This window comes from Homo sapiens, chromosome 9, assembly GCF_000001405.40.
Source record: "Homo sapiens chromosome 9, GRCh38.p14 Primary Assembly".
NCBI classification, from domain to species: domain Eukaryota; kingdom Metazoa; phylum Chordata; class Mammalia; order Primates; family Hominidae; genus Homo; species Homo sapiens.
Genome location: NC_000009.12, coordinates 133338099 through 133361421, shown reverse-complemented (window position 1 = coordinate 133361421; position 23323 = coordinate 133338099). Strand labels below are relative to the sequence as shown.

General features: G+C 55.6%; 4 protein-coding genes, 4 non-coding genes and 1 pseudogene across 11 annotated transcripts, besides 10 other annotated features; 2 read left to right on the top strand and 7 right to left on the bottom strand.

Moving 5' to 3' along the window:
* On the bottom strand, nucleotides 264-4872 carry SURF2 (surfeit 2). Of its 2 annotated transcripts, none has more exons than NM_017503.5 (6): nucleotides 4752-4872; nucleotides 4354-4508; nucleotides 3608-3711; nucleotides 1293-1472; nucleotides 988-1157; nucleotides 264-366 (listed from the first exon to the last, which is right to left on the bottom strand). In NM_017503.5, exons 1-6 carry the CDS (start codon nucleotides 4827-4829, stop codon nucleotides 283-285), a joined length of 771 nt encoding a protein of 256 aa, NP_059973.4. In that variant the 5' UTR covers nucleotides 4830-4872; the 3' UTR covers nucleotides 264-282. The 2 variants fall into 2 exon arrangements, with proteins under 2 accessions (NP_059973.4, NP_001265857.1); NM_001278928.2 differs by having other exon boundaries at nucleotides 264-363.
* Nucleotides 398-447: an enhancer, noted in NCBI's record as "active region_29237". NCBI's record gives its function as "activates an Ori minimal core promoter by ATAC-STARR-seq in GM12878 lymphoblastoid cells {active_cell/tissue: GM12878}" and the evidence as "EXISTENCE:reporter gene assay evidence [ECO:0000049][PMID:35858748]".
* Nucleotides 4704-4773: a silencer, noted in NCBI's record as "silent region_20453". NCBI's record gives its function as "represses an Ori minimal core promoter by ATAC-STARR-seq in GM12878 lymphoblastoid cells {active_cell/tissue: GM12878}" and the evidence as "EXISTENCE:reporter gene assay evidence [ECO:0000049][PMID:35858748]".
* Nucleotides 4935-9664, top strand: SURF1 (SURF1 cytochrome c oxidase assembly factor). Of its 2 annotated transcripts, NM_003172.4 has the most exons (9): nucleotides 4935-5022; nucleotides 5102-5153; nucleotides 6465-6598; nucleotides 6681-6763; nucleotides 7482-7673; nucleotides 8656-8728; nucleotides 8814-8976; nucleotides 9280-9361; nucleotides 9440-9664. In NM_003172.4, the coding sequence occupies exons 1-9, from the start codon at nucleotides 4969-4971 to the stop codon at nucleotides 9507-9509; spliced, it is 903 nt and encodes a 300-aa protein (NP_003163.1). In that variant the 5' UTR covers nucleotides 4935-4968; the 3' UTR covers nucleotides 9510-9664. The 2 variants fall into 2 exon arrangements, with proteins under 2 accessions (NP_003163.1, NP_001267716.1); NM_001280787.1 differs by lacking the exon at nucleotides 5102-5153 and having other exon boundaries at nucleotides 4937-5022; nucleotides 9440-9617.
* Nucleotides 5014-5133: a silencer, noted in NCBI's record as "silent region_20452". NCBI's record gives its function as "represses an Ori minimal core promoter by ATAC-STARR-seq in GM12878 lymphoblastoid cells {active_cell/tissue: GM12878}" and the evidence as "EXISTENCE:reporter gene assay evidence [ECO:0000049][PMID:35858748]".
* RPL7A (ribosomal protein L7a) lies at nucleotides 9996-13204 on the bottom strand. The gene is made up of 8 exons (NM_000972.3): nucleotides 13176-13204; nucleotides 12380-12500; nucleotides 11722-11871; nucleotides 11370-11510; nucleotides 11103-11182; nucleotides 10695-10825; nucleotides 10351-10420; nucleotides 9996-10160 (listed from the first exon to the last, which is right to left on the bottom strand). Exons 1-8 carry the CDS (start codon nucleotides 13176-13178, stop codon nucleotides 10056-10058), a joined length of 801 nt encoding a protein of 266 aa, NP_000963.1. The 5' UTR covers nucleotides 13179-13204; the 3' UTR covers nucleotides 9996-10055.
* Nucleotides 10509-10576, bottom strand: SNORD36C (small nucleolar RNA, C/D box 36C). Its single transcript, NR_000016.1, has one exon. It is a non-coding gene; the product is annotated as a small nucleolar RNA, C/D box 36C (small nucleolar RNA).
* SNORD36A (small nucleolar RNA, C/D box 36A) lies at nucleotides 10895-10966 on the bottom strand. The gene has a single exon (NR_002448.1). It is a non-coding gene; the product is annotated as a small nucleolar RNA, C/D box 36A (small nucleolar RNA).
* On the bottom strand, nucleotides 11258-11328 carry SNORD36B (small nucleolar RNA, C/D box 36B). The gene has a single exon (NR_000017.1). It is a non-coding gene; the product is annotated as a small nucleolar RNA, C/D box 36B (small nucleolar RNA).
* SNORD24 (small nucleolar RNA, C/D box 24) lies at nucleotides 11952-12026 on the bottom strand. The gene has a single exon (NR_002447.1). It is a non-coding gene; the product is annotated as a small nucleolar RNA, C/D box 24 (small nucleolar RNA).
* Nucleotides 12783-13252: an enhancer, noted in NCBI's record as "active region_29236". NCBI's record gives its function as "activates an Ori minimal core promoter by ATAC-STARR-seq in GM12878 lymphoblastoid cells {active_cell/tissue: GM12878}" and the evidence as "EXISTENCE:reporter gene assay evidence [ECO:0000049][PMID:35858748]".
* Nucleotides 12783-13408: a biological region, named in NCBI's record as "Sharpr-MPRA regulatory region 11826".
* Nucleotides 13114-13408: an enhancer, noted in NCBI's record as "tiled region #11826; HepG2 Activating DNase unmatched - State 1:Tss, and K562 Activating DNase matched - State 1:Tss". NCBI's record gives its function as "activates a minimal TATA promoter and a strong SV40 promoter by Sharpr-MPRA in HepG2 and K562 cells {active_cell/tissue: HepG2 | K562}" and the evidence as "EXISTENCE:reporter gene assay evidence [ECO:0000049][PMID:27701403]".
* Nucleotides 13291-23110, top strand: MED22 (mediator complex subunit 22). Of its 2 annotated transcripts, NM_133640.5 has the most exons (5): nucleotides 13291-13500; nucleotides 14722-14882; nucleotides 16170-16250; nucleotides 17089-17297; nucleotides 19728-23110. In NM_133640.5, exons 2-5 carry the CDS (start codon nucleotides 14760-14762, stop codon nucleotides 19915-19917), a joined length of 603 nt encoding a protein of 200 aa, NP_598395.1. In that variant the 5' UTR covers nucleotides 13291-13500; nucleotides 14722-14759; the 3' UTR covers nucleotides 19918-23110. The 2 variants fall into 2 exon arrangements, with proteins under 2 accessions (NP_598395.1, NP_852468.1); NM_181491.3 differs by having other exon boundaries at nucleotides 17089-20517.
* Nucleotides 14713-15214: an enhancer, noted in NCBI's record as "H3K4me1 hESC enhancer chr9:136213063-136213564 (GRCh37/hg19 assembly coordinates)". NCBI's record gives its function as "activates a minimal SCP1, AML or CMV promoter by ChIP-STARR-seq in primed H9 embryonic stem cells {active_cell/tissue: H9 hESC(primed)}" and the evidence as "EXISTENCE:reporter gene assay evidence [ECO:0000049][PMID:30033119]".
* Nucleotides 15215-15718: an enhancer, noted in NCBI's record as "H3K4me1 hESC enhancer chr9:136212559-136213062 (GRCh37/hg19 assembly coordinates)". NCBI's record gives its function as "activates a minimal SCP1, AML or CMV promoter by ChIP-STARR-seq in naive H9 embryonic stem cells {active_cell/tissue: H9 hESC(naive)}" and the evidence as "EXISTENCE:reporter gene assay evidence [ECO:0000049][PMID:30033119]".
* Nucleotides 18882-19602: an enhancer, noted in NCBI's record as "H3K4me1 hESC enhancer chr9:136208670-136209390 (GRCh37/hg19 assembly coordinates)". NCBI's record gives its function as "activates a minimal SCP1, AML or CMV promoter by ChIP-STARR-seq in primed H9 embryonic stem cells {active_cell/tissue: H9 hESC(primed)}" and the evidence as "EXISTENCE:reporter gene assay evidence [ECO:0000049][PMID:30033119]".
* Nucleotides 19479-19528: a silencer, noted in NCBI's record as "silent region_20451". NCBI's record gives its function as "represses an Ori minimal core promoter by ATAC-STARR-seq in GM12878 lymphoblastoid cells {active_cell/tissue: GM12878}" and the evidence as "EXISTENCE:reporter gene assay evidence [ECO:0000049][PMID:35858748]".
* On the bottom strand, nucleotides 21924-22472 carry RPL21P81 (ribosomal protein L21 pseudogene 81; annotated as a pseudogene).
* Nucleotides 23111-23323: the final 213 nt, after the last annotated feature.

Here is a 23323-nt window from a genome sequence, read left to right as displayed (position 1 = left end):
CCCTCAGGATGCCAGTGAGCGAGGTTACTTCTCTAGGCTTCTCTGAAGACCACTCAGAAGCCATGTCCAGAGAGAATTAGTCCCTCAGAGTCCCTGCTGCTTCCTGGGTGTGGGGGACAGACTCCCTCAGCCCTGCCTTAGAGGGCAGCAGATGTCATGAGACAAGGATAAGTGGGTAGAGAAGACACTGGGGACAGCCGATCATTCAGAGGACACACGGTTTGATCAGGAGCGGGGGAAATATCTGAAGGCTTTCTCGAAACTTCACGGCATGTGCTTTTATTAACCTGGCTGTTTACAGGAGCTGAAGCTCTTGGGTTTGCGGTGATGACTCTTGAACTTCTTTTTCAACGAGCCCAACTGCTTCTGTGGGATAAACAAAATTCTGATTACTGAGCCTTTCTGATCCCATGGAGAAGGGGCCCTGGAGTGCAGGGCTCTCCCCACCCACACAGCCTCAGAGGTGTCGGTCAAATACCCACAGAGGCTTTCTCCACCCCCGTTTCCTTAACAGCTGCAGGATTAGACCCCGCTCAGCAGGGCCTCAGAGGAGTACAGTGCAATGCCACACACTCATTAGGACCTTGTCCTCTTTTGGCCTTGGTCCTGCTTATCTACCAAAGGCGGGGAAGTCTCCACTCCTGCCCTGATGGCAAAGGCAAAGGTGGTGGCTAGTAATCAGGTCCCTGTGCCCAGGGGTAAGGACAAACACGCCACAGCTCATAGTCTGAGGTAGGAGGGTGTCCTCACAAACCAGTGGTCTTGACCGTGGTCCACAGAGCCTGGCTTCCACAAGGGGCTGGCTGGGAAGCAATGGTAGGCACTCACGGCCTTCCGCCAGCCAGCGGCCTCGGCTTCTATGGTTCTTGTGTGTTGTTGGCTTGGGATTTCACTTGTGAAAAAGGTTCAGTTTTCTTTTTTTAAACAAATGGAAAACCATCACTAGGGGAAGCCACTGCCACACTAACAGAGGAGGTGACAGCTCACCTTCCCGCGCTTCTGGACCAGCCCTCGGTACACGGTCGTCTCTCTCCTGCCCTCATCAGTGGCCTTCTCTCTTGGGGGCTTTGCCTTCTCATCCTCTTTGTCTGTCAAAAAGTCATCAGTGCCATCCCCATCCTCCGTGCTTCCAAGGTCCTTTCTGGTGAATAGCTCAGCTGGGAGGAACACAGGGATTGGCTGACAGTTATTTTAGGCTGAGTTCGCTGCCACCTTTGCAGGGGAGGCAGCACCACAGTCTGCTCCCTGCTGACAGTAGAGGGTCAGGGAGAAGCAGGGCCTGTTCTGCTTACGTGGGTACAGGTCTGTCATGCTGTCATCACTTGCAGCTCCCCCCTCATCACTGGATGTGGGCTCCCAGAAGGCTTCCCGCGGGCGAGGCCCGTCACCGTCCATCTGGTCCTCCCTCCTCCTCCTCCGGTGCACCAGGCAGGCAGGCACGTACTCCACCCCTTGCTTCTGACATTCTTCATCTGGGAGATAAGCCAGCACGTGCTGGGTACCTCCACACCCCCCACGGTCCTCTGGGCCACAGCTAACTTATGAGGACTGCACTCGGCCAGGGCCCCACAGCCCCACCGCCCTGGACAAAAACCAGAGCAGCTGCTGGGTGCCTCAGCTCTGTTCCTACCAGGTGTGCAGGGAGGGTGGTGGGCCAGGGCTGCAGCCAGGAGGCAAGAAGATGGTAGAGGTCTACGGGGCCTTTACCACTCATCCCCGATCTAGCCAGGCCTAGGAAGCCACGGCTAGGAGGGCACTGACCAGGCCCAAGGCCAACTGTGCCCCAGTGAGCTTGGCATGGCCTCTCAAAGGCAACTCGGGCTGGCAGTGATGCCACCCTCTCCCCAGCAGCCTGAAGTCCTCCCTCAGCACATGGGAGACCCCGTCCCGGAGGGCGGGGCTCAGTGGAGGTTGGCTGCCTGGCCTTTGCTGCCCCTTAGTGGGTGAGAAGGGAGTTGGGACAAGGCTTCCATGGAAAGACCTCACTGGAGTCACCACCGTTGTCCCCTTGTATATTGGAGGGTCTGCTGGGGCTTGCCCTCCAGCCCAGCGCAGCTACCATCATCATCCCTCATGGGCTGCATGAGCCCTGCTGGGCCCTGGCCATTGATGTGGCGGCCCATCTCCAGGGCTGTTTCCCTCCTTGTCTCTGCCACCCACCCCCATGGCCATGCAGCAGCCTTGTCACCACCAGAACGTGAAGGCAGAGCCCCCTTACAGCCACGTTTGGACTTCCCTGGACCACTGCCTTGCAGTGACCTCGGCGCCCCAGTCCCATCTCAGCTCCACAGTCCACCATCATAACCATTCTTCATGGGAACCCCGTGGCCCCCTGCACTTAGAGCCTTCCTGCCCACCCCTGAGCAGCTAACACACTGGCTGGAAAAAGTCCAAGCCTCAGGCTGGCAGCCCTTGTGCCTGCAAGGCCTCTGCAAGGTGCCCGCCTTCTACTTGAGAAACCCTGGTCCTGCCTTCTCAATCCACACTCATGCTTCGGGAGGGCTGGACTGCCTCTCCGCACTCATCAGAAGCCCGTAGACGCATCTTCCCATCCGCAAACCAACCTGAATCTGTCCGCTCCAGCCTCTGTCCATTTCCCTCCTTAGCTGGACTCCAGAAAGGCTTTCTGGTGACCCAGCACCTGCCTAAGGCCGGACACTGCCCTCATGGGCTGCAGCCTACGCTCCACTCTAGCCAGGTGTCCCTGCCAAGCTTCAGGTGCCTCACCAAGGTTGCCAGGGGCCTCTGTGTTATCAAATCTATCATTTTTCTGTCCTCATCTTCCCTTCAGTACCACGGGAGGACTTCCAGCCTCTTCCTGGGGCTCAGGACCAGGCCTCTCTCCCTTCTCTAAACTCTCGCCGGGTGCTCACCCAGATCCACGGTGCAACCATCTCCTTCATCCAGCACGGGTGTCCCTGTTTCAAAAGCCCGATACTTCCCTAATACACACCTTTCCTAATACAGCTCAAGCTTAAAACCTTCAAAGGGACTCTGAATTCTCCCCCCAAAACCCACCGTCTTTTCCTGGATGACCGCAGTCAAGGAGTCCTCCCTTCTCAACCATGCACACTGTCCATGCAGCCCCCACCCAACCCTCTCCACACACCCACTGCAGTGCTCCTGGCCTGGTCTCTGGGTCATCCGGGCTGTGCACACTAGCCCAGCCAGTCCTTTGGAGCCTACCTCAGCCAACACATTTTTGCCTCAGACTTCCATGGACCCTGGCTTCTCCCTGGGGTGCTGTTCCCCCGACCCCACTGCCACCACATCCCTCCAGCCTCAGCCTCGAGCGAATCCCTCAGCGAGTCTCCCCAGCCCTCCTGTCTCCGCAAGCCCACCCCACATCCCTCGCCCAGTTTCTTTCACACCTCGCATTGCCACGCACACTCACTCACTCCCGAGCCTGCTTCTGGCTCTGTGCCTGCCTGCACTAAAAGCTGTGGGGTCAGGGGCCATCATCCCTCTCTTCACTGTGCCAAAAAACAGGCCTGATGCATCAACACGGATCGCTGAAGGACGACCTGCCTTCAAGCACGCTCCATCTGGGGCAAGGCGGGCATGCACTCAGATGGCGATGCACTGATGGGGGTCCACTGGGACTTACATTTACACAGAGCTCGCTGGTACCGCCGGCCCTGGGTGTGCCTCAGCACGTGTTCTGGGCACTTGTTGATGTGCCGCAGGGTGAGTTTGCAGAACAACTGGTGCCTACAGAGCAGAGAGACCAAATTTGTAGGGACAGTTCACAGCAAGGATTCAGACTGGTGGCTGTGTCTTGGACTCATCCCTGGACAGTCTACCATGCGGCTTGGACATCGGGCTTTTAAAGGCTCCCGGAGCAATTCCACTCTGAAGCTGGGTGGGGAACCGTCTGACCCAGGCCGACTGCAGCCTCTTAATGTTTACCGGAAAAGCACGCATGGCAGCCTCACTGACTGCTCCAGGATGAGTTCATGCAAGAGGATGGCTCCACCTGGAGCAAGGGCTCAATGAATGGAAACATCCTATCTCTGTTTTGACGATTATTACAAAGCCTAGCTCCCAGCTAAATCAAAGACCCCTTCTGGGGTTAAGGGAAGAACCCAACGCTGTTCACAACCTCAGGTGACAAATCACAAGCCTCTACTCATCTGGGAAGCAGCCACACCCCACAGGACAAACCTCAGGTGAGCAAACGAGCTCACCAAGAGGCCTCGCCGCTGGGACCGCAGGTGATTCCAGCACCCGGGCGCCCACCTGGGTCCCAGGGCTCCCAACTCTGAAAGAGTAGGGGCTGCAGCACTGGCGGAGTCCAGCGGAGGGGCTGTCCTAATTGCCCTGGGCCTCCCCGCGCCGCCGCGGACCACCTACGGGTTCTTGGTGCTGGGCACGATGTGCGGCTCGAACTCTGCATAGTCGAAGGCCGGGGAGGCGCGGACCAGCCGCTGGTACTTTTTGCCGCGGGTGTAGACCTGGAGCTCCGGCAGGCGGCAGGGCAGCTCGTGACCTGTCAGGATGCACCTCACCTGCGGACGCGTGGGCGGGCAGGACGTCAGGAGGGCCAGGGCTCCGCTCCCTGGTGCCCCCTCCTGCCGCGCCCCCTTCCCTCTCCTCCCCTGATCCCGCCGCGCCCTCTCCCCTGCCCTCCCCTCTCTCCTGCTCTCCCCTCTCCCCTCTCCCCTGCCCTCTCCTCTCCCCTGCCCTCCCCTCAGCCCCTCATCCCAACTGCGCCCTTCTCCGCCACTCCGTTCCCCTCCCGCGCTGCGAACCTTGCGGGCGTCCGTCTGGAGCCGCAGGCTCGGGTGCTCCCGCAGAAACGCCCGCACGTCGCCCGGCAACTCGCTCATGGCCGACGCGCCCGCGGAGCAGCCCGGCGGAAGCCGCTCGCAGAACCTGGAGCCGGGGGCGGGGCTCTGGGCGGGACTCAGCGGCGCCCCGGATGCAGATGCTTCCTGCGTCCCGGAAGCGCCCGCGGGGCCGGGTGCGATGGCGGCGGTGGCTGCGTTGCAGCTGGGGCTGCGGGCGGCGGGGCTGGGACGGGTGAGCGCCGGGTGCGGGGTGCGGGGTGCGGGGCGCGGGGAGGGGTCCCGGAGCTCAGCCCGCCCGTCCGTGTCCGCAGGCCCCGGCCAGCGCCGCCTGGAGGAGCGTCCTCAGGGTCTCCCCGCGCCCAGGTGAGGGCTGCAGGCCGGGCTGTGATCCAGGCGCCTGGGCAGAGCCACCTGCTGTCTGCCCTGCACTTTGAAGGGTTGTCGTGGGGATTGAAATGAACCAACTGCCGGCTGAGCGGAGGCTCCCTGGGAGTGACAAGTTCCGTATTAAAATGCTTTCAGTGGAATTGTGGTCGTGTGCCGGGCATGTAGCGAGCGCTTTGTCCTCACAACGCGAGAGGTAGCTCCTTGGTCGTTCCCCTGTTACAGAGAAGGCTCGAGAGTTACTTCCGAACGTCCCATCCAGCTAATGGGTGGCCAGCCCAGGCTGAAAGCCCAGGGCTCTGAAAGTAAAGCGTATCTAACCACCGCGGCTTACGTGTTCCTCTCAGTGTGCAGCACAGGGCTGTTTTGCCGTGTGTAGAGTGCTGTGCAAGCCTGCCCCAGGCCTGCCTTTTTATAAAAAAAAAAAAAAAAATAGTATCCGCAAGGCCCCTGGTGCTTTTCAGCGGATGGAACTCATCCTCTGAGAGCTTAAAGGCACTTTCTGTGTACATTCTTCCCTCTTTACATTTACGATGAGTTGTAAAAATGGAAAGCTGTTAAGAGAGCTCTGTGAGCCATTACTGAATTGATATATTTTTCTACATAACACAACAACCACTAGTGCCTGACTAAGCTACTTAGTAACTGTAGCTGCTTATTTTTTATTTTTTGAGACAGTTTCGCTCTTGTTGCCCAGGCTGGAGTGCAGTGGCGCAATCTCGGCTTACAGCAACCACCTCCTCCCAGGTTCAAGCGATTCTCCTGCCTCAGCCTCCCGAGTAGCTGGGATTACAGAAGCACCATCGTGCTCAGCTAATTTTTGCATTTTTTTGTAGAGATGGGGTTTCTGCATGTTGGTCAGGCTGGTCTCGAACTCCTGATCTCGTGATCCGCCCGCCTTGGCCTCCCAAAGTGCTGGGATTACAGGCGTGAGCCACCGTGCCCGGCCAACTGTAGCTGCTTATTAAATGCATTTTGAATGGATGAATGGTGCATCTTAGTGCAGTGGAATACATCTAGATTCTTGAGTAAAAAGGCATGAGTTACTCAGGGTCGTGGTTGGTGGTCAAACCGGCACTGAGCCCTAGATCCCACTTACTCACTTGGCAGACGTACTGTGTGTGCCTTGTTCTGGGCACCGGGTTAGGAGCTGGGCTGGATACAGGTGCTGCTAGTTGGCTCTAGGCAGCAGGTTTTGATTGGCAGTACTGGAGTCTGTCTTGGAACGGGCTGCTCCAGGTCTGTGTTCGAGGGCTTCTGGCTCCATGTCAGTGTTGTGAAACTCTCCAGGGGTGGCCTGGAGGCCAAGCAGATGTGGCAGTTCTGCAGCAGAAGCATCTGCCACAAAAGCGGAAGATGACTCCTTTCTTCAGTGGGTCCTGCTCCTCATCCCTGTGACTGCCTTTGGCTTGGGGACATGGCAGGTAAAGACCGGCATCTGGTGTGCGTAACTCTGGGCCCTTGACCTTGCTGCCATCTGCTTGGCCTTATGCTCTGTCACTGTAGGTCCAGCGTCGGAAGTGGAAGCTGAACCTGATTGCAGAGTTGGAGTCCAGAGTTCTGGCTGAGCCTGTCCCTCTGCCAGCCGAGTGAGTGCATGGCTGCCCCCCTAGGGCCTGTTTTACTTGAGTTCAACAGCAGAGCCCTGGCTTCTGCTGGCCAGCTTGCCCCTTTTGGTGGGACTTTTAGTCACTGCCTTGACCTCAGGTGGGAGCTCTCATTATCAGTCATCTGTTGGGCTTGCTGTTGACACCTGACTGCCCTTGTGAAGCTACCTGAGACCGCCTCCTGACATATGGAGGAAAGTCTTATTTTGAGTCCTGGGTGTCACCCTTTTTTCAGGTATAGTAAACTTATCCTCCACAGGGCCCAAGGCCCTGTGGCTGAGGACAGATAATGTAGGTCTCACCGTGAGGGTGGTCGTTTGAAAAAGTGCCCTGAATGATTTGTCTGCTCTCTCCCTAGAATATGCCCTACAGAGATAGGTATATTCAGCCACATTTTCCATTCAGGGTAGCAAACAGTATGCCAGATTTGGCTTGCAGATGGGGTTTTGGCCCACATATTTTTTAAAATTTCACATAAAATATTCATTGAGGAGTCCAGATTTTTAGCCTCTCTTGTAAAGTTGGACTCTGGCAGTGCAGATCCACATTCCCACATGGCATCAAAGTTCCCCTTTGAAGAGCACGCCCTTTGCCTTTCTCCTTCACTTGTCTGGCCCTGGTGGGCTGTGTAGTCTGCCACCCTCAGGGGATTCGTTTTCCAGCCAAACCTTGCTCGGCCACTGTTCTTATCTCCATGCAGCCCAATGGAACTGAAAAATCTGGAGTATAGGCCAGTGAAGGTCAGGGGGTGCTTTGACCATTCCAAGGAGCTGTATATGATGCCCCGGACCATGGTGGACCCTGTCCGGGAGGCCCGGGAGGGCGGCCTCATCTCCTCCTCAACTCAGAGTGGGGCCTATGTGGTCACTCCCTTCCACTGCACCGACCTGGGGTGAGTAGGACATGTGGGAGCTGGCTGTCCTGGCAGAGGCAGTCAGGGTATACTAATTTACATCACTATTTCCTTCACAATCCCCAACCTTGGTAGGACCCTGGGGAACCCAAGATACCCAGGAGATTCAATTCCTTGCATAGTTTAAGTCCCTAATTGTGACATTGACTTAATCTTCTCAGCCAGCTCATTTATGACTGGATAATTTCTGTATGTTGACCTCTGAAGGGAAAGGAGGGATTCGTGAAACAGGGGCCCTGCCTCTGGAGAACTGTCTAGTTGCCCACACATTAGATGATGGCAAGCTATGAGGGGCCAGCAAGAGGACTTCAAGAGAAAGGACCCCAGCCCTACCTTGAGGGAGTGGAGGCAGGGGTGGCTCCCTAGAGGGCTATTTGGGAGTTAAGAGATGGGAAGAACATTCCAGGCAAAGCAAATGACAGGTACAGGAGCACCTGTGTGATTAACTAGGGAACTGGAGGATTCACGTAAAAATGAAAATACCTGGGGCTCTTGTTAACCCATGGGTTCCTGTTTTAGGGCTGGGATGGGGCCCAAGTACTCATCTCCAGCAGGCTGGGGTGCCAGGGCTGCTCCTCACGGCTGCCTTGGTTAGGAGGAGGGATTGGAGACAGCTCTTGCCATAGTTCAGGGGAGAGGTGTGGGGTCTAAACTCTGGCGTGGCAGCGTTGCTCACCAGTTGCACGTTGTAGTAGGTAGACCACAAGAAGCAGAGATAGAAGGGGAAAGCCACACTGGTAAAAAGGTAGTGATGGTGGCAGGGAGCCTTTTACCAACCACGAAGGTGCCTCAAGAGAGGAAGACTTTGCCTGTGTGGCACTGCCAGGGCTCCACTGAGCCAGCCCTGTTTTAAAAGCCTTCCTTGGTGCTCTAGTTGTTCCTATGGGTGCCTGAGTGACCATGAGTGACTGTCTTTAGTCAAAAACCCTCCCCACCTGAAGTAGCACTTTCATTACCCTAGAGTCACCATCCTGGTAAATAGAGGGTTCGTTCCCAGGAAGAAAGTGAATCCTGAAACCCGGCAGAAAGGCCAGGTAAGGGACATGGACTCTTCCTACTTTAGAGAAGGCTCTGGGAGTCCACCAGGCTCCATGCAATCTCACACACCTTCCTTTATAGATTGAGGGAGAAGTGGACCTCATTGGGATGGTGAGGCTGACAGAAACCAGGCAGCCTTTTGTCCCTGAGAACAATCCAGAAAGGAACCACTGGCATTATCGAGACCTGGAAGCTATGGCCAGAATCACAGGCGCAGAGCCCATCTTCATTGATGCCAACTTCCGTACGTTGTGGACCAGCCCATCTCGGAACAAGTAGCTTTTGTGAATACTGTCCTTCCTCCTAACCCTCATTGCCCAGTCACTACTGTGGCTTATGTTCTCACATGTGTATATGGCGGGTGGGAGGAGGCAGCAACTCAGCAAAGAACCTAGGCAAGTACTGAGCGGACAAGGGCGGGGATGGTCACCCAACGTAAAGGCCATACAGGACTTCCAACTGGCCACGCAAAAATGACAGCCACTAGGAAGTGGTGCAGAGGCTGGCAGGCCAGTAGGGGGTGGACTTGAGTCTGCTGTCTCCACAGAGAGCACAGTCCCTGGAGGACCCATTGGAGGGCAAACCAGAGTTACTCTGAGGAACGAGCATCTGCAGTACATCGTGACCTGGTGAGTCCCCAGCGGCCCTCTGGCTTCCTCCCCTTCAGCCTAGCAGCCTGCTAATGCTGGCTTGCTTTCAACCCCTAGGTATGGACTCTCTGCAGCTACATCCTACCTGTGGTTTAAGAAATTCCTACGTGGGACACCTGGTGTGTGACAGATCAGCTGCTGAAGCCCTGTCCCTGGATAATGCAGTATTTCAAGACTGCCTTTATGCTGGATCATGTGCTACTGGTATAAAGTTCTGGCCTTCTACCTTAAATGAGCTCATGACTGGTTCATCATAAAATCCTGGCTTGGTTTCAGTCCAAAGAACTTTCCCAAAACTTGATACTCAAGTTACATCTCTAGGGAACAAAATGCCTGGTTTAAGAATGTATTTAAGGGTGGGAAGGGCCGGGTGCGGTCAGGAGCTCAGACCAGCCTGGCTAACATGGTGAAACCCCATCTCTACCAAAAACACAAATATGGGCCAGCCAGTTGGGATGCTGAGGCACCAGAATATCCTAAACCTGGGAGGCGAAGGTTGCTTTGACATCACACCACTGCACTCCAGCCTGGGCGACAGAGTGAGGCTGTGTCTCAAAAAGATACTTGCTAACCCCAAGTAAGATTCAACCCGAGATACTCAACAGACACTGGCTGAAGGAAAATTTGTATTATTTCAATTATTTTTATGTACAGAAAACTCAACAGTGTACATTTAACCCAGTTTAGTGGCAAGTTCTTTAGCCTTTGCCTTTTCGAGCTTGGCGATACGAGCCACAGACTTAGGACCCAGGACATTGCCACCCCAGTGACGGCGGATCTGAAAAGACAAAAAGAGGCAGTTAGCTTGGCTTACTGTTTTCTGAGATTTTCAAGGTTATTAGTTGCGTTAATTCTGTTTGGCTGTTCCAAGCTGATCGTCAGATAGAACTTCTCATAGGTTAAGCCAGCCAGTTATTTGGGAGAAAGATTTGTGAATGACAGTATTTTGGTGTAAAGCTGCCTCTTACCTCATCGTATCTGTCATTGTAATTGGTCCTGATAGCTTCCACCAGCTTAGCCAAAGCGCCTTTGTCTTCCCTAAAAGGCAGGAGGGGAAACAAAAGTGGGTTTTTTGCCTTAGTTTCCCTTTTAGAATGCAAAAATACCTTTTAGCTCAAGACAGTCTTTTGCCTCAGATGCAATGCTGACCACATGGTTTATTCAGGTGAAGAAATTCTTAACCATCATTGGCAAAAGTTCAGATAAATATATTTCTTAAACTAAAAGATTGGCCTTTAAGGCAAAAGGAAACAACTGTGAGGCATGGATTAAATGAACTGGGGGGAAGTTTGGGGCCAGGCTGTGTACTTACGAGTTCACCTGTGTGAAGGCGACAGTGGTGCAGGTCTTCCTGTGGACTAGACGTCCCAGTCTTGCCTTTCCCTTGATAATGCAGTAAGGGACCCCCATTTTACGACACAGGGCAGGCAAGAAGACAACCAGCTGGAAGAAAGCATTAGCTGAAGACTGTATTTTGACCAAAAGCAGCAAATTTCAGTTAGCTTGTAACAATTGCTCAGGGTTAAAAAGCTCATGGATTCGCACTTCAAGGTTGAATTCAGTGAGAGATTCACATCATTGCAAGAGCCACGCATGTGTTGGATCTGTGTCAGTACTGCCCTCACCCACTTCGGTCCCATCACTGACTTGGCATTAGGTCTACTCTCTCTTCCTGGTACTGCCAGAAGCCCTTGGGTTAGCAGTCAACAGGCAAACGCACCTCGATGGGATCCACGTCGTGTGCAATCACCACCAGCTGAGCTTTCTTGTTCTCCACCAAGGTGGTGACGGTGTTAACTCCTAGAACACACAACCACTTTGTGAGCACTCACAGGGCCTGCTCTAGTCACAAGAAGCTGCTGGGCTCAGCTGCTGACTCAGTGTTAAAAAGCTCGGTTTTACTCTTCACAGTAATTTCAGGCCAAGAAATTTTACATCACTGCAACAGCCCGCCCCCAGTGTTCACCCTAAGGTGGGGCCTACTCACCTGCTCGAAGGACAGGTGGTCTCTTCGTTGGGACGTCCCCTTTGCCAGCAGCCTTCTTCTCGGCCCGGGCCAACAGTCTCTGCTTCTTCTCTTGCTTTGTCTCTGGTCTGTACTTGTGGGCCAGCTTAAGCAGCTGAGTAGCTGGAAAAACACTCTTCAGTTTAGGCTTGGAGTCAAGGTTCTAATCCTTGTCACTTAACACTTAATAACAAATGCTGGACTGCGGTCCTGCTATATGACTATAATTTAATGACAACTGCAGTTCAAGAAGCCTAAGACCATCCCCCTCATGTTCTGGATGAAATAAGGAATCCTTGCCTGAGAAACTCCTTTCCACGCCACAGAACCTCACCTGTTTGGCGGTCCAGGGCCTGGGTGAACTGGTTAATCGCAGGAGGCACTTTCAGCCGCTTATAGAGGATGGCTCTCTGCCGCTGCAACCTGATATAGCGGGGCCATTTCACAAAGCGGGTGAGGTCTCTTTTGGGCTGGATGTCCTGTCCTGAGAAGTAAAGGGTGACACCGAGTGAGGCTCAAATTCCATGTCAAGTTCATGTCTGGGGCCACTAGGAAGGGTGTTGGTGCATCAGCGATCTTGGTGGTTTAAAATGTCATCACCATCTCTCAGATAGCAAATATTCTTTTACATCATCTGCACACAAACACCTGAGAACAAAGAGCACGATGCTTTTCCTCATCTAACAAGAAGCCAAGGTGCCACGAAGTACAGCAGAATTGCAGTCCTAGTACCTCGCTGCGACACTGCTACTGTACTTGTTTCCAGATGGCTAAGCTGAATTCAAGGCCACTACCATATTGAGCTGAATGCTCGCTCAGCAACTCCCAATGAAAGCAAGAAGCATGTATCATTGCCCCCGTCTCTAAGAGACACAAATTAAGGACTGCGACCACTTTACACCCACTAAAACCTACAAGATACAACACAACCCAATTACCACCTTCCCTTGAGAAAAACATAGACCGTTTTCATTCTGCCGTTTGTTACTTACCAATGCCAAAATTCTTAGGCCTTTTCTCAAACAGGGGATTCACCACTTTCTTAGCCTCCTGCTTCTTCACGACAGCTGGGGCCGGAGCCACCTTCTTTCCCTTGGCCTTCTTTCCTTTCGGCTGGGCAGAAAGAAAACGTCAGTTAAACCGCCGCCTCCACTCGCTTCGTCGGGGGTAGGGCTCAGGCTGGCTCCTCCAAAACAAGGGACGCTGACAGCACCTGCCTGAACTAAGCTGGCGAGCAGCTTTCTGCAACCCCCCAGCACCACCCCTCGACAGGAGCATCTCACATTCAGCCGCACAAGCATGCAGCCCCGGGAACCCCGAGTGGCCAGAGCAAGGCTAAGCCCGAGACCACGCTCTCTTCGCGTCGCCCACCCAGGAGACACCCCGGACTCATGACTCCTCTGAGTCGCGGCCCCACAGGCTCTAGAAGCAACAGGGGCGGGCTCAGAACTCGTCGCTCACAAGGCCTCTGGAGCGGCCCCCAGCAAGCCCGAGAGACGCTAGGGCTCCGAGCCCCGCACTGCGGTGCTCCAGGCCTGCGACACCCAGCCCTGCGACACCGGGAACAACGCATTCCGCTCTCGGCCGCCCGGGGCTCTAGTCCATCTCAATGTCTCCGTGCCACACCAAGTGGGGCTCTAATCCACCTCGGTGTCTCCGTGCCACACCGAGTGGGGCTCTCCTAGCGCCAGGAGGAGCAGGAGGCCCTCCGAGGCCGCGCCTGGAGGAGGATGGCAGCGGATACAGCCGGAACCTGGCTATAGTGCCACGGAACTACAGCTCACTCACCATCTTGGGCGGCGGGAGGAGAGAGAAAGGAAAGGGAATTGTGGGTAATATGTATGCGGCCTCGGAGATCGCGAGAGTTGATACCGGCACGGGATTTCGGATTTAAAGCAACAGCATTCCTATAAAGCTAAAAATCGAGGCGGGGCCGAGAGGCTGCGGCGGCTGACTAGGTTTTCGGACCGCGGCGCGGCGGGGAAGAGAGACTGCGGCGGGAGGGCCAGGCCGTGGGAGAGACGCGGGAAAGTGCGGGTCGCAGAGGCACTTGACCACCCCGCCCTAGGCCGACCCGGCGGACGCGGCGTCTGGTGTGCGGGCGCTGGGGCGGGTATGAGGGTGTGGTGGGGGGTGGGGATGGAGGGGGGGTGGGTGTGTGGGCGGGAGTGGGGGTGGGTGGGTGCGTAGGCGCTGGGGTCGGAGATCCCCTTTCCTGCGTGTGACTTATTTCCCACACCCCGCCAAAAATGGGCACAAACAATGCGAGTGCGTCCAGGAGTCCGCTCGGTCGTGCGCCAGACTCCGAACCTAGGGGGCCCCGGGCCCTCCCTGAGCACCGCGCGCAAAGGCCCGGCCCCAGGGCCAGGCAACTCCAGCGCCGAGGCCGTCCAGTGCGGCTGGAGGGCAGAGGCCGAGAGGCGCGGCGCGGAACTTGAGCCCCTTGTCCCGGCGCACCGGGGAACCATGAGGGATGTTAAGCGAGGGAGTGGAATTACCCCCCTTTTTTTTTTCTTTTGGAGACGTAGTCTCCCCCTGTCGCCCAGGCTGGAGTGCAGTGGCGCGATCTCGGCTCACTGCGACCTGTGCTTCCCGGGTTCAAGCGATTCTCCTGCCTCAGCCTCCCGAGTAGCTGGGATTACAGGCGCCTGCCATCACGCCCGGCTAATTTTTGTATTTTTAGTAGAGTTGGGGTTTCACCATGTTGGTCAGGCTAGTCTCAAACTCCTGACCTCAGGTGATCCCTGCCTCGGCCTCCCAAAGTGCTGGGATTACAGGCGTGAGCCACCGCGCCCGGTTGGAATGACCACTTTTTAGGACCTCTTCCCTGCCGCGCAGAGACTGGAGGGAGCGGGGCCCGCAGTGCAGGGATGAGGTCTGGAGCGGGGCAGCCTGAGTGGGAGTGGAAGGAAAGCGTGGATGTAGGCGGTGCAGAGGGGTCGAATTGGAAGGACTCTTCGGATGGGAGGGCGTGGCGAAGGTGGCGGCGGGCTAAGAAGTTAAGCCAAGGGCTGGGGACGGGGAGCTGGTGTTGAGTTTGCAGGGCTCCCTGGGACACGCTGTGGGCCTGGACGTGAAGTCTGGACTGGAGCCCTGGACAGGGCTTGGAGGGCTGGCCAGGAGTTCCAGGATGAGCTTGCTCTGGCAAAGGCGGGGCCAGTCCTGGCACCCCCTGCGGTGTCTGCTGATGGAATGAGTTCATCTGTGTTTCAGTGATTGACTTTATTTGGCAGAAAGGGAATCCCCAGAAATCTGCGTGTTCTGCTAAGGTTGGGGCATAGAGGGTGGCTGGGGTAGACTCTGCCTGCACTCAGAGGTCTGTGCTGCACTCTAGGTCCCAGGTCTCCCCGCTGCGCTGCTTGAGGCTCGGCCATGGCCCAGCAGAGAGCCCTGCCCCAGAGCAAGGAGACGCTGCTGCAGTCCTACAACAAGCGGCTGAAGGACGACATTAAGTCCATCATGGACAACTTCACCGAGATCATCAAGACCGCCAAGGTGGGGGTGGGGTGGCCCACCAAGGGGAGCAGAGTCTGAGAAGGGGTGGAGACAGGAGAGGCCAGGGGCTGAGCAGCGCGAGTGAATAGTGTTCTAGGCAGGAAGCACCCAGTGCACAGGGAGCTGGTCAGTAGATAAGCAAACCAAATAATGGCACGTCCAGCCCTTACTAACAGTATGGATTTGGATGGAGATTTCACTTTTTAGTGCCTCAGTTTCTCCTGCATGGTGGGGTCCTTGTGATGACTGGTGAGTTTATCTGTGTAAAACAGTTACCTCGGGGCCTGGCACACAGCCAATGAGCAGGAGAAAAGCAGACTGAGGGGAGAAGTGGGGGGGGGCCTCCAGGCAGGTGGAGCGGTCAGCACTGGGGCCTGCAAGCCTGCTGACCACTGCAGCTACAGCTGCATCAGATTGGGCTGGATCCCTCCTGGCTGCTGCAGACCTGGCAGGCTCCATAAGCGATGATGATGAGGATGGAAGCTAGCATGTACTTAGTGCTTGCCATGTATCAAGCCACGTTGTGAGGTTATCTGTGCCTGTTCTGCTGAATCTTCATGAGGACTCTGTGAGGTGGGCACTGTTGTCCTCTTCATTTCAGGAGGAAACCCAGGCCCAGGAGACTTAGTGACTTGCCCAAGGTCACTCAGCTCACAACTGGCTGAGCCAGGATTTGAACCCACGAAGTCTGGGTCTTAACCACTGAGGGTACCTGACACCCACCCCGAACTGAGCCTTTGCAAGGCCTGCCGGGAAGCCCCATCCAGCCTCGCTTGGCCACCTATACACCAGGGGTGGCAGGCCAGGCTTCTGTGAAACTGGCATGGGTTAATGGTGGTCAAGTGCATGACACAGCCTGGCACCTGGGAAGTGATCAGGAAATGGTCGCGAAAAAAAACTTAAATCATCCCTTCACTCATCCAACAGTTTACCAAATGCCAAGCAAGTGACAACGGTTCCTACCAAACAGGGCTCCCACAGCCCAAAAAGACCGGGCCAAGATAAGCCCCCATCCCTGCACCTAGTACAGCAAGCAGCGTGGGTTGCCTCTATTTGTCTTGAGCAAAGGTGCATGTTGTCTCCCATGGCCAGAACAAGAGAGGGTGGAATTGAACCTTGTCAGAGGTCTGGCTGACAGCGCTTAGGTCTGTAGATGGCACCACAGACAGGTTGTGGCCAGTGTGGACATCCTGGGTAGATGACAGTTACCGTAAGCTGGGCTGGGCCGGGCCAGGGGTGGGGATGCCTTGGCTGGGTTGATTTCTAGGTTTTCTTGTTTTCCCCCAGATTGAGGACGAGACGCAGGTGTCACGGGCCACTCAGGGTGAACAGGACAATTACGAGATGCATGTGCGAGCCGCCAACATCGTGAGTGGCCAGGGTGGAGGGCACGGCCTGGGCTCCAAGAGCATCAGTCCCCTCAGGTTTCCTGGGTGGAGTGGAGGGGGCTCTGGGGCTGGTCTGGTCTTCTTCCCCCGAGAAGGAGCAGAAGGAGGCAAATGTAGAGATGCTTTGGTTTCACCACTCGGCAGCTTTAAAGAATGAGGTGGGGGCAAATCATTTCTCAGGAGACTGTCCTCACGTGGGGCACTTGGAGGAGGGCTGGGCAGAGAGCCACCCATGCCCGTCCTGTAGCCGTGCAGTGGCCAGAAAGAGGGTAGCCCTTCCTGCTAACTCAGGAGTTCCTAAGGTCAGTTGTGAGTGAAAAGACAAACAGCCGAATGGAACTGTAGGCGCCATTGGATTCCTTCGGATCACAGGAGAAACACAGCAAGCAGATAATTCCGCAGGTGCACGTCCAGGGCTCAAAATGCATGGAAAAAGGTCCCACAGGAGCTCTGCCCAGCTGGCAGCCATGTTAATCCTACCCCGGGGCAGGAGGCAAAATGGGATCGCAGTTTTATCTGTGGGGTTTGAGTTTTTCATGAGCAGAATGTACACCTGCATAATTGGACTGGAGGCCAGTCCTGCAGGAGTGGAAGCCAGAGGCTGACGAGAGGGGAGGGCCTGCCCTGCAGAACTGACATCCCAGTTTTCTCACTTAATTCTCACACATGAACCTGTGGAGGTCAGGGGTAGAGTCCCACTTTGCAGATGAGGAAGCTGAGGCTCCTAGAGAGGCCATCCCTTGCCCAGCATCAGCTACTTGTAGGCAAGGCCGCTGTCCCCCCTCACCCTGTGCCCGCCCTGGTTCTGATGGCCACAGGTCCGAGCCGGCGAGTCCCTGATGAAGCTGGTGTCCGACCTCAAGCAGTTCCTGATCCTCAATGACTTCCCCTCCGTGAACGAGGCCATTGACCAGCGCAACCAGCAGCTGCGCACACTGCAGGAGGAGTGCGACCGGAAGCTCATCACGCTGCGAGACGAGATCTCCATTGACCTCTACGAGCTGGAGGAGGAGTATTACTCGTCCAGGTATAAATAGCGCTGGACTCCCCATGCAGAGCGGGAGCCTGCCTACCTGGGCCTGGCCAGCAGGCAGGGCTGCCTTCTGCTTTTTCAAATTCTTGCTGGTCTTAGCAGTGGAGCCATGCCTGGGTTTCAGAGCAGAGCTCCTGGCCAGAGCGTTTGACCGACAGACAATTCACATCCATATGCCAGGGCCCTGGGCCTTTCCCACAGTGCAATGTGATGAAAACCACAGGACTCACGCCAGTCGGATAGGCCGAGTCTGGAGAAGGGAGGCGCCTGGCTGTATCCCCCGCAGGCCCTCTTCCGAGAGCCTTCCTCCTCGGGCAGTGCGTTCTGGGGCTGTGCTGCTCCTGTTACCTTCTGAATCCATATGTAGAGATTTCAGCCAAGGCTGGGCCAGCCTTTTTTGGGCAGTCAGGTCCACACCTATGTCCAGGGCACCAGGGATGCAATTCCATGTGGATGTCACCAAACCCCAGTGTGGAGGCAGGGACAGTCATGGGAATGTGGGGGATGAAGCCCAGGCAGGGAATGGCCTTGAAAGCCATTGGAGCTCCAATTCGTGACCCACTCAGCCTTATCCACGGAGCTGGAGCCAACCTACGTGCCAGGCCCCGTGCTGGGTCCCAGGGATGCAGAAGGGTCAAAACCCATCATCCTGACCCTTGTGGGGCTCCGTAAGAAGCTGAAACCTTCGACCGTTTGAGCTGGAGGGGCCCTGAGAAATCAGAGTCTACGTATCATTTACTTAGGGGGAAACTTAGGCTGGAGACAGGGAGGCCTTCCACTCTGCCCCATTAGCTTAGAAAATCAAGATTCAGTCCAGCAGATGCAGAGTCCATGTCCATCTTGTGCCTTCTCCTGGACAAACCTTTCCTTCCTGGTGGTGGATTTAAAATACTCCTTTCTGCCCATTGGCCATGCTGGGAGCCACAGATATCCAGAGCCAGCATGACCTGGGGCTTGGTTTCCCTGCCCTGGGCTCAGTGGCACTGCTGAGCTGCAGCAGTCCTAGAGTTTTCCAGGGGGTTCTGAGGGAATCTTTGGTCCCCAGTACTCATTAACTCAGCAGACATGAGGCAGCATTTCCTCCACACTAGGGTGGCTGAGAGGGGTCCTGGGGTGTTTCAGACCCTTCTGGGCATCTCCTTCCACAGCTGTTCAGTTTGTCGGTCTCTTTGAGGCAGCCACCGTCCCTGAGGGCCCCTGCACAGAGCAGCTGTGGGCCTGTAATTCAGCCTGCCTGCCTTGCCTTGGGGCAGGGAGAGAGGGAACCTGCTCACGGCCCTGCAGCAGAGCAGGGCGCAAACCCAGGACATCTGTGCCAGGCTTCCCATGCCCTCCCCCAACAGTCCCTCAGCTTCACCCAGCGGGGCTTCCAGGCCAGCCTGTGTCCCCTCCCGCAGGCCTCCTGTCCACACCAGCGCCCCCTGGGGGGCCTCACACAGCCCCTGTGGCAGAAGCAGTTGCCCTCCTCTGTACATTGCCTTTAAGCGACCAGGTCCTGGCCGAGTTTCCTCTGCCCCTTCTTGCTGGTCCCCCAAAGGGCGCTCCGCTCCCTGCCCTGCCCTGCCCTGTTCCGCATGAGCTGCGCCTCTGTGCTCGCCTGCCCCCTCTCTGCTTGTTAGTTGCTCTTTCTGGCTCTGCCTCTCCTTTGCGTTCCTCGGGATGCCACTCTGTGCCCAGGACGGTTCTGAGACTGAACACTGAGGGCAGGAGCAAGGGAGGAAGCCAGGGGCGAGGCAGGCCGCGGGAAAGCCAGGGCCCCTGCCTGCAGGTTAGAAAGAGGCGAGCGTGGATTGTCACAGCTGCGGGCATGGGAAGGGCTAGCTGAGCTCTTCACCTGCATCCTGGCTGCCGTGAGGATTCCCCGTGTTAGAGGTGGGGACGCCTGCTGGAGGCCGCCTGGCTGATGTAGGGCTATCGGGAAGTGCCAGGGCCTGTGTTCCCAACTGTCGCCCCCTTCAGGCTAAGTCTCAGGCAGGGACAGACCCAGAAAGAACACAGTCTGCCCTCAGAGAGCTCTTTGCAGTGTAGTGACACTGGGGTTTCTGCAGTCAGGGAGGAGGGAGGGTGGCCAGGCTGACAGCTTTTTGCAAGAGGAGGGGGACCAGCACCAGCTGGGAGGCATAGGCTAGGACAGGCCCACGTGGAGGCTGGGCAGGAAGGGCCTGCTGAGGTCACACAGCTGTTGGTGGTTGGGCCAGGGCGGCTTCCTCCTTTCAGAATGCTAGGGTGGCTCTCACCACTGGCCGCCTCTCCTTGCCAGGCCTGCCAACTCAGGGGACAGATGGAGCAGGAGTGGAGAAAGGGAAAGGCAGGTCTGGGGTGTGGTCGTGTTTTCTTAACTCTGCTTCTGTCTTGCTCTCCCCTCCCCTGGCTTTCCTCTCTGCCTGCTCCTGTCTCTCCCTGGGGTTTCTGGTGGTGGAAAAGCTCAAGCCTTTGCGAAGCTAATGACCTGCCTCTGTGCGAAGCTTACGGGAGGCTGGACCTCGACACAGACTCTGCTGATGGCCTCTCGGCCCCTCTGCTGGCGTCCCCGGAGCCCAGTGCTGGCCCCCTACAGGTGGCAGCCCCTGCCCACTCCCATGCTGGTGGCCCTGGCCCCACTGAGCACGCCTGAGCCTCCGGGGCCACGCTTCGTTCTCAGGAACAAAACCTGAGGCAGCCCTTTGGATGCCCTCACAGCCTTGCTTCTCTCAGCCTAGGTTCCCATTTGGGGACTTCAGGACCCCAGAGCCACTAGGACTTCCTTGGGAAGCCCGTTAGCCCAGGGTGGGTCCCGCCAGGACAGTAGGGAAACAGTTGTTTCCCTAGCCATTTCCGAATAGCCCATCATTCCGAGTCATCATCTCTGTTTGCTGCCTTCCTGGCCAGCCAGGTGGAAGAAAGTTTCCAAGCTAGGTCTGGCCCGTTGGGGATCTCAGCAGTGGGGCAGGAGGGTGCCTGATTTCGGGGAGTCCTGACCCGAGCCTGTTGTCAGAGTTGGGAGGGGCTCTGAGCAGTGTTGGGCAGGCCGGGTCTCCCATCCCGAGGCCAGCGTTCCTGTGCAGAGCCCCATCCACTGGTTCTTGCCCTGAGCCACATATGTCTGTGCCATGGGCTGAGTGCCACGACAGGCCCGTGTGACAGCTGCTGCCCACGCATGTGGAAGCTAGGTGGGACTCATTCCTAATTCTGCCGTTGTAATGAGACTTGATTAAAACACCGCCACTTTTTTGCATTGCTGCTCTTTCTTCCTCATTCCTTGTCAGTCCAGGACCATCCTTGGTCTCCCAGCAGTTGTCCGAGCAGCAGCTCCTCAGCTCTGCCTGGACAGCCTGGCCCAAGGTCACTCTCTCCTCATTGGCACCTGGTAGGTCCCCAGTATTCAGTGAATGGACCTGCTGCCATCATTGCACATCCAGGCACCTGTGCCTCTGCTGGCATCTCATCCTCACTGCTACCAGAGCCGGTGCTCCTAGTGCCGGTATTTTAGAGAGGAGAGGATGTGGACTTAGAAGGGGTGAGGTGTACCACGGCCACAGAGCTAGGAAGTGAAGTGGCAGGAATCAGAACTTGAACCTGATGGAAGTCTAGACCCAGTGTCTTTTGGTGCCAGGCTCACCTTAGAAATGCAGAAGTCACAACACTGGGCAGGAAGTGTGGGGGGAGCACAGTTCGTCCACAGGAAGTGTGGGGGAGCACCCCACCCCAGTTCCTCCAGCACCATCCATGTGCTTCATCTTCTCATGGGGGAGGCCATCATCTTTCCCGATGTATGAATGAGGTGACAGCCCAGGATCCAGCCTTGGGGACAGGTAAGAACACAGCTGACCCATCACCACCTGAACCAGAGAACCCCACAGCCAAGCAGAAGGCACCAGACAGACAGGAGCTTGAGGCCCAGTCCTGGCTCTGGACCTGGCTTCTGGGGTGGCCTAGGGAAGTTGCTTCCCCTCTGAGGGAGAATTTCCCCATTGATACGTGTGGTGATCTGTTCCCGCACTATTTTAGCTGTGGAAATGCCTTGTACTTAACCACTGAGGAAGAAAAAGATTACAACCAGATGGAAGCATATATGAAGCGAGAGCCCGGAAGGAACTGGCCAGACTTTGTGGTGGGATCCCACTTACCCTGTTCCTAAAATCCTGAGCGATAAGACCTGCCATCAGCTTCATTTTCTGCTTGGCCAGGACCATCATTCCCATGTGAAAATCAAGTTATTTCTCCTTCTTAAAGCCAAGCCGCTCTGCTGACCTTTTTTCCTCTCCAGCTCATGGCCTTGGCAGCAGAGCTCCACGGGGAAGCAGCTGATAACCATTTGCAGTTCTCTCTTGGGCCTACGTCAGACAGGTTTTGTCTCCATGACTCTAGCAAAACTACACCTATTAAGGTCACCAGTGGCCTCCACATTGCTAAGCCCCGGCCCATTCTCAGTCCATGTAACTCTTTTATCCCAAGCTTTTTATTTTGAGGGCAGTGGAACTCATGGAAGTACTTGTCAGTTTGCCTCTCTGAGCACATTCTCCTTCGTCCATCACCACAACCAGAATGGATGATGATTGCATATCCTCTGGTATCTAGCTGTATTCAGATTTCTTCAGTTGTTCCCCAAATAGTTTTTTTAATGCCTATTTTTTTTCTTTCTAGTCCAGAGGTCTTTTATTTTTTTAACACCCACGATGCCATGAATTCATAGGGAAGAGGTTCCAGCAGCTCAGGCTCCTTCCCATTGGTTCTCACAGTGTGCTGCTCTGGGTGGAGCAGGCTGGCGCTTCAGTTGAATCCAGGTACCTTTCTCTTTGGCTTCCCTCTTTTTCTGATCATTTTCCTTCACGCGTTTCAGGAAGCTCTCTCGGCTCTTAGAGTGCTTAGTGTGCTGAATATGCACATTCATTCTCTTGGCAAGAATCTTGCCCTTACTTGTTTACAACAGTGCCAACAGCATGCTGGGGAACACTGTAGACTCTCCCAGTCTAGCCATGGTGACATTTGTGGGGCATTCCTTTTTGAACAGTACCCATTCCCTTGATATCTACAATATCACCTTTCTCATCAATTTGCATATACTTGGCCAAAGGAACAACTGCATGTTTTCTGAAAGGCCTAGAGAACATATATTGGGTGCCTCTCCTCTTTCCCTTTGTGTTCGTCATTTTGGCGAATTACTGGAAGGTGGCGGTTCCAGCTGAAAGGCTTTTATGCCTGTTTTTATTGTGTGTTGCATTTGGTTGTTATTTTGGAGTCTTAAAATCTAAAACAGGACCAGGTCAGGCCCAGTGGCTCCTGCTGTAATCCCAGCACTTTGAGAAGCCAAAGCGGGTGGATCACTTGTGGTCAGAAGTTTTGAGACCAGCCTGGGCAACATGGAGAAACCCCGTCTCTACTAAAAAGTATAGAAATCGGCCGGGCGCGGTGGCTTACGCCTGCAACCCCAGCACTTTGGGAGGCCAAGGCGGGCGGATCACCTGAGGTCGGGATTTCCAGACCAGCCTGACCAACATGGAGAAACCCTGTCTCTACTAAAAAGTATAGAAATTGGCCGGGCGCGGTGGCTCACGCCTGTAATCCCAGCACTTTGGGAGGCCGAGGCGGGCAGATCACCTGAGGTCGGGAGTTCCAGACCAGCCTGACCAACATGGAGAAACCCTGTCTCTACTAAAAATACAAAAATTAGCCGGGCGTGCTGGTCCATGCCTATAATCCCAGCTACTTGGTAGGCGGAGGCAGGAGAATCGCTTGAACCCGGGAGGCGGAGGTTGCAGTGAGCCGAGATCGGGCCACTGCACTCCAGCTTGGGCAACAAGAGCGAAACTCCACCTCAAAAAAAAAAAGAAAAAAGAAAAAGAAATTAGCCAGGCATGGTGGCACACGCCTATAGTCCCATCTACTCAGGAGACTGAGGCAGAACCCAGGAGGTGGAGACTGCAGTCAGCCAAGATGACACCACTGCACTCCAGCCTGGGAGGAAGAGTGAGACTCTCCATTTCAAAAAATAAATAAAACAGGACCAAAGTGGTGATGAGATGGGAGTGGGTCCACTGAGA